At 52.9% G+C, this 7,495-nt stretch overlaps 1 protein-coding gene across 1 annotated transcript; it reads left to right on the forward strand.

Annotated features, from left to right (window-relative positions):
• GDF2 (growth differentiation factor 2) lies at positions 934-6,068 on the forward strand. Its single transcript, NM_016204.4, has 2 exons — positions 934-1,494; positions 3,321-6,068. Exons 1-2 carry the CDS (start codon positions 1,149-1,151, stop codon positions 4,262-4,264), a joined length of 1,290 nt encoding a protein of 429 aa, NP_057288.1. The 5' UTR covers positions 934-1,148; the 3' UTR covers positions 4,265-6,068.

Consider the following 7,495-nt stretch of genomic DNA (forward strand, 5'->3'; position numbering starts at 1 on the left):
TTCCTGGGCCACAGCTTATCAGCCTCCAAAGGCCAGGGGATCATCTTCTTGGCATGTACCACTCTCAGAACAACCCACCTACTCCCCTGTCTACCAGATTGCGTGGTTCTCCCTGCTGATGAGTGTGGGCCAGGTGGCTGCCAGGTTGGTGTGAGCTAAGACCACCCCACAACAGACCAGTGACACAGCTGGGATGCAGGGATGTGGGGAGCTCCCCACAGGCTGCAGTGTGTTGTGGAGCTCCGACAGAGCAGGCTGGGGGAACCCAGGGCTTCCTCCCCCAGCTCCAGCTCAATCAGGCCTGGGCTGGAGAGGGGGCATCCAGAATGCAGCCACCAAGCCAGCCTGGGGCACAGCATCCTCTTAACCCCTATAACTATCTTCTGAATGGGAGGCTCCAAGAGCTGCAGTGACTTGTTCCAGGTGACATTTGCAGGGAATCGGTGAGGGAGTTGAGATCCCAGCCTGTGTCTAGTTTGACTCATCACCGCACTAAATTGCACGGGAGCCATATTCACTCGTGATCTCTAATGCTCAGCAGTGCATCCCACCAACAGAGCAGGGAGGCTTGCTGGCAGGTTCCGATTCTGCAAGGAGCAGGCCTCTTCTGAGCCCTGATGTGGTCCCCACACTCTCCCCATCTCCCCAGCCCCCACGGTTCACTGTGATCTTGTGCTGTCCTTTCTATATTTGGAGGACTACTTGGTCTTGTTTCCTGGATTCTTCACTCCTGTGGCCCAGGAGATGGAGCATATGTCACCCTGCCTGGAGATTCTTCTGAAGAGCCCTGGCAAGGAAATGAGAAAGTATCCTAATTAGGGGGCAATAACCCCCTGGAGAAGCACAGATTCTTTACAGTAGGCCGTGTCCTTCCCGCATGCCCTGTGTGTTTGTCAGATGTTTATAGAGCCTTCATTAACGGAAGGCTCCCTCAGATAAGACGTCGGAGCGCGGCATCGAGGACCAGATAAGCACAAGTGGAGGACAATCCAGCCCGGCAGCGGGTGAGAGTGGGTGCTGGCCAGGACGGTTCCTTCAGAGCAAACAGCAGGGAGATGCCGGCCCGCTCCTTCCCAGCTCCTCCCCGTGCCCGCTAACACAGCACGGCCGCCTGCAGTCTCCTCTCTGGGTGATTGCGCGGGCCTAAGATGTGTCCTGGGGCACTGTGGGTGGCCCTGCCCCTGCTGTCCCTGCTGGCTGGCTCCCTACAGGGGAAGCCACTGCAGAGCTGGGGACGAGGGTCTGCTGGGGGAAACGCCCACAGCCCACTGGGGGTGCCTGGAGGTGGGCTGCCTGAGCACACCTTCAACCTGAAGATGTTTCTGGAGAACGTGAAGGTGGATTTCCTGCGCAGCCTTAACCTGAGTGGGGTCCCTTCGCAGGACAAAACCAGGGTGGAGCCGCCGCAGTACATGATTGACCTGTACAACAGGTACACGTCCGATAAGTCGACTACGCCAGCGTCCAACATTGTGCGGAGCTTCAGCATGGAAGGTAGGGTCTCCGCTTGCACCATGCGCGCTGGGGTGGGACTCACAGGTCCACAGCTGCTTTCCCCAGGGTGGAGGCCACTGGCCATAGGAGGCTCTTCAAGCTTCCATTTAAATTAGTTACAATGAAATAAAATTAAAACTTATTTCTTTAGCCTCACCAGCTTCCTTTCAAATGCGTGGCTAATGGCTTCCCTATCAGGCAGTGCAGACTGAAGAACATTTCCATGGTTACTGAGAGTTCTACTCAGCACTTCTGTTGTGAAGGATTCACCTTCCCCAAGCTGTGTGCCACATTTCACACAGCAGGTGCACAGGGATGCCAGCTCTCTTTTTTCCACCCCTTCTCTTTACTCTCCTCTTCTTTGCATCACTCCCCTCTGATTCACTTCTCTTCCTTTCCCCCTTCCCTTCCTGTCCCCTTCCTACTTCAGAACAGAACAGGCAACCTATTTCACCTCCAACTAACTGGGATATTTTTAAATTTTCAAAGCACATCTATTCCTTTCTTATGAAACGGTTTTAAAAATCAGATAAAATTCTTGGACAGAGAAGTGTTGGCAGAGAACCTAATTGTTTTTAAATAGAAATATATCTGATTTAGAAGGACTAGAAGATAACAAACACGGACCTAGGACCTATGTCCTAACTCAGACAAGCTCACATGATGCAGGGGAAATAAGTTTCTGAAGAGCAAAACTGTTCAGTCAAAGCTTGCAGCCACCAAGGGTACCCACCCATGTCACCTAGGAAGTGTTAAGCCTGCACACCTAGGAAGTGTTAAACCTGTCTGCCTGCAGAGCTGGCTTTTCCTGCTGCTGCTGTCTCCCTCTGAATGTCCAGGAGCACAGAGCCTCTCCCTTCCTGGGTCTGAGACTTGCAAATGGCTAAGGGGCCTGGCTCCATACCACGCCCAGGCCAGACCTAACTGGTCTGCAGAGGCAGGACTGGCACTTCAAAACCTGCCAGCTAGGTTTCCCTATAGCACAGGGTCTCCACACATGTGGGTATATAGCAAGTGCTGAAAAAATGCAACCTCTTTTCCCTGTCTGTGAACCAGCCATTGTATAGCAGGAGCGTGCTAATGACAAAGTGTCAGCCCAGGATAAATGGGATATCGAGATAACTATGTGGCTAAAAGCCAAGCCCCATTTTTGCTTGACATGACAAAGCAATTGAAGCTAATAGATTTTGTTCCTGAAACACTAAAACCAATTATCCACTTTTGCTTTGTTTGGAAATTACAATTTCAAACGATTTATACACTGTTTAGAGGCTGAGATTTTTGATATTGTCTTAATATTGGGGTTTCACTGTCCCCACCCAGGATCTCTCCTTTAAATTCATACACTCAGGATCTTCACTCAGGATCTGACAGTGAGTTTTTCTGTTTTCTTTATGTACTCAATAGCTGTGTGCTAGTAAGTCCCAGAATACTTAACTAGCTGTATGCATTTTGGCAATTAACTGCCTTGAATCCCAGTCTCCACATCTGCAAATGTGGAATAATAATTAGATCCTCCCAGGGTAAGTGAGAGGATTAAGGTGAAATGTATTCTGCAAAGCTCCCAGTGTAATGCCTGGCACATAGTAGATGCTCGATAAACAGTAGGAACTCTCAATCCCAATTGGAGGCATCTCCTTTGGAAGATCTTAAGTGTACCTTTCAAAATACTCTTATACTTTAAGGGCTTGGGTGAAACCAAATAGAGATAATACAGACCAAAATTGTTATCCCAGATGCTCTTCTGTCTAAACCCTGAGACTCAGCTTCAGTGTCATGGAAACAGACCCTCCAGCAGATGCCCACCACGTGTGTTTGCATTTCAGATGCCATCTCCATAACTGCCACAGAGGACTTCCCCTTCCAGAAGCACATCTTGCTCTTCAACATCTCCATTCCTAGGCATGAGCAGATCACCAGAGCTGAGCTCCGACTCTATGTCTCCTGTCAAAATCACGTGGACCCCTCTCATGACCTGAAAGGAAGCGTGGTCATTTATGATGTTCTGGATGGAACAGATGCCTGGGATAGTGCTACAGAGACCAAGACCTTCCTGGTGTCCCAGGACATTCAGGATGAGGGCTGGGAGACCTTGGAAGTGTCCAGCGCCGTGAAGCGCTGGGTCCGGTCCGACTCCACCAAGAGCAAAAATAAGCTGGAAGTGACTGTGGAGAGCCACAGGAAGGGCTGCGACACGCTGGACATCAGTGTCCCCCCAGGTTCCAGAAACCTGCCCTTCTTTGTTGTCTTCTCCAATGACCACAGCAGTGGGACCAAGGAGACCAGGCTGGAGCTGAGGGAGATGATCAGCCATGAACAAGAGAGCGTGCTCAAGAAGCTGTCCAAGGACGGCTCCACAGAGGCAGGTGAGAGCAGTCACGAGGAGGACACGGATGGCCACGTGGCTGCGGGGTCGACTTTAGCCAGGCGGAAAAGGAGCGCCGGGGCTGGCAGCCACTGTCAAAAGACCTCCCTGCGGGTAAACTTCGAGGACATCGGCTGGGACAGCTGGATCATTGCACCCAAGGAGTATGAAGCCTACGAGTGTAAGGGCGGCTGCTTCTTCCCCTTGGCTGACGATGTGACGCCGACGAAACACGCTATCGTGCAGACCCTGGTGCATCTCAAGTTCCCCACAAAGGTGGGCAAGGCCTGCTGTGTGCCCACCAAACTGAGCCCCATCTCCGTCCTCTACAAGGATGACATGGGGGTGCCCACCCTCAAGTACCATTACGAGGGCATGAGCGTGGCAGAGTGTGGGTGCAGGTAGTATCTGCCTGCGGGGCTGGGGAGGCAGGCCAAAGGGGCTCCACATGAGAGGTCCTGCATGCCCCTGGGCACAACAAGGACTGATTCAATCTGCATGCCAGCCTGGAGGAGGAAAGGGAGCCTGCTCTCCCTCCCCACACCCCACCCAAAGCATACACCGCTGAGCTCAACTGCCAGGGAAGGCTAAGGAAATGGGGATTTGAGCACAACAGGAAAGCCTGGGAGGGTTGTTGGGATGCAAGGAGGTGATGAAAAGGAGACAGGGGGAAAAATAATCCATAGTCAGCAGAAAACAACAGCAGTGAGCCAGAGGAGCACAGGCGGGCAGGTCACTGCAGAGACTGATGGAAGTTAGAGAGGTGGAGGAGGCCAGCTCGCTCCAAAACCCTTGGGGAGTAGAGGGAAGGAGCAGGCCGCGTGTCACACCCATCATTGTATGTTATTTCCCACAACCCAGTTGGAGGGGCATGGCTTCCAATTTAGAGACATAAAACACAGGCAGATCAAGTAGCATTGATCAATGGCATGATTCCAACTCAGATTTGTGGGACACCAAAGCCCAGGATCTTCCCAAGTGCCCTGCTGCAGTTTAGCAGGTCCTCTCCAGCTAAAGAGCAGTGAGACATTGGGAGCCCAGGAGTGTTGAGGCCAGGCCAGGCTGAGGCCCATCAGTCACAGGTGTGACTGGGCTGCTTGTCACACACAGGGCGTGGTCTGGCCACTGTTGCCAGTGCTCACTCAGCGGCCACATGCTTTTTAATATGACCCCTGAGGCACTGAAAAATAACCCCAGGCCAACTGCAGGATAGAGAGAGAGGTCAGGACAGCAGCCCTGTGGGCTGCATGATACACTGTGGCTGGAGTTATTGTGACCCCCTGGTGCAGTGCTCCCACGGCCAGTGGTGCACACAGGGCCATTCACTGTCCATAGACTGAAACCATGTGACCATTTGAGAGGGCCGGGCACACTTTCCCCTGAGGGATGGGGCAGCCTGTGGCCAGCACCTCTGCAGTTACTCTGCATAGCCAGCTCACCAGCATGCCATGCCCAGGGTGCCCCCCAGTGACAACCTCATGGGAGACGGGCCTGGATTTGAATTTGTTGGAATTAAATGTGCTCTGGCTTTGGTCTTTGAAACATATCTATTTTTATTCCTTGGTGACATGTCCTTAAGTGACAAGACTCCAGCCTTCCTGGGCGAGGCCTCTCCAGCCTCGGAAGAGCTGCAGTCCTTATCGGCTATCACTGGCTCTGCCTGCATTTGCCGGCTCTCTTGAGTCACGTGCATCCCAGCACCCCGCCTGGGCTCGGACTGTGGGACCAGACTCAGCCTCCCCGAACACAAGGGAAGATAAGGCTTCCATTTGCTCTGTGTTTCACCCTCTCCTCTGTCTCTCCAGGCCACACATGGAACGGGGCGGTATGAGGAAGAGTCTGAAAGTGGTGAAGAGTGCACCTATGGCCCTCTGACCTCCAGCCAGAGCAGGGCCTAGGGGAGGCTTAGAGAGGCCAGGGCCTCTCCCCGTGGTTGAAGCTCCCATTTATTTAAGAAAAAGTGGGGGGTGGGGAAAACGTTATGTTAAATGTTTACATGGAACCAATGAACAACTTTAACACACAAATACAACGAAACATTCTTGTTTAATTACTGGCGTTATAGAAAATATGAATTCCTGCTACATGCCGGGCAGTGTAGTGTTACAATGCTATTCCAAGTTGGGTGTTGAGCATCTTCTTTCAGTCCTGGTGGTGTGCTTCTGTGCCTGCTTGAAAATTTCACTCGGAAATAAAGTCAAATGTCTAATTTGCAGCCCCTCCTGAATGTGAGACCCAATCTGGAGGACCCTATAGACTCATACCCTGCCTACCCCACCCTCCAGACCCCACTGGGTTGGGCCTCCCCTTCCTAAGGAGGCAGAGGGGAGGGGCAGGCAGCCATCTCAGGACTGGGTGGATGCAGGTGGGTGGTGTCTGCACACTGGGGTGAGTGATGTGGTGTGTGCACATTGGGGTGAGTGATGTGTTTGCACACTGGGGTGAGTAATGTGTGTGCACACTGGAGTGAGTGATGCAGTGTGTGCACACTGGGGTAATATGTGTGCACACTGCAGTGAGTGATGTGTGTGCGCACTGGGGTGAGTGATGTGTGTGCACACTGGGGTGAGTGATGTGATGTGCACACTGGTGTGAGTGATGTGTGCACACATTGGGGTGAGTGACGTGATGTGCACACTGGAGTGATGTGTGTGCACACTGGAGTGAGTGATGTGTGTGCACACTGGGGTGAGTGATGTGTGCACACATTGGGGTGAGTAATGTGTGTGCACACTGGAGTGAGTGATGTGTGTGCACACTGGGGTGAGTGGTGTGTGTGCACACTGGTGTGAGTGATGTGTGCACACATTGGGGTGAGTGATGTGAAGTGCACACTGGAATGAGTGATGTGTGTGCACACTGGGGTGAGTGATGTGTGTGCACCCTGGGGTGAGTGATGTGGTGTGTGCACATTGGGGTGAATGATGTGTGTGCACACTGGGGTGAGTGATGCAGTGTGTGCACACTGGGGTAATGTGTGTGCACACTGGGGTGAGTGATGTGTGTGCACACTGGGGTGAGTGATGTGGTGTGTGCACACTGGGGTGAGTGATGTGTGCACACTGGAGTGAGTCATGTGTGCACACATTGGGGTGAGTGATGTGATGTGCACGCTGGTATGAGTGATGTGATGTGCACGCTGGGGTGAGTGATGTGTGTGCACACTGGGATGAGTGATCTGTGTGCACGCTGGGGTGAGTGATGTGTGTGCACACTGGGGTAAGTGATGTGTGTACACCCTGGGGTGAGTGATGTGTGTGCACACTGGGGCGAGTGATGTGTGTGCACCCTGGGGTGAGTGATGTGTGTGCACCCTGGGGTGAGTGATGTGATGTGCACACTGGGGTGAGTGATGTGTGTGCACCCTGGGGTGAGTGATGCGGTGTGTGCACACTGGAGTGAGTGATGTGATGTGCACACTGGGGTGAGTGATGTGTGTGCACACGGGGGTGAGTGATTCAGTGTGTGCACCCTGGGGTGAGTGATGCGGTGTGTGCACACTGGGGTGAGTGATGTGGTGTGTGCACACTGAGGGGGGTGAGTGACGTGGTGTGTGCACACTGGGGTGAGTGATGTGGTGTGTGCACACTGGGGTGAGTGACGTGGTGTGTGCACACTGAGGGGGGTGAGTGATGT

The sequence above is a fragment of the Homo sapiens genome, chromosome 10, assembly GCF_000001405.40.
Source record: "Homo sapiens chromosome 10, GRCh38.p14 Primary Assembly".
Taxonomy (NCBI): Eukaryota; Metazoa; Chordata; class Mammalia; order Primates; family Hominidae; genus Homo; species Homo sapiens.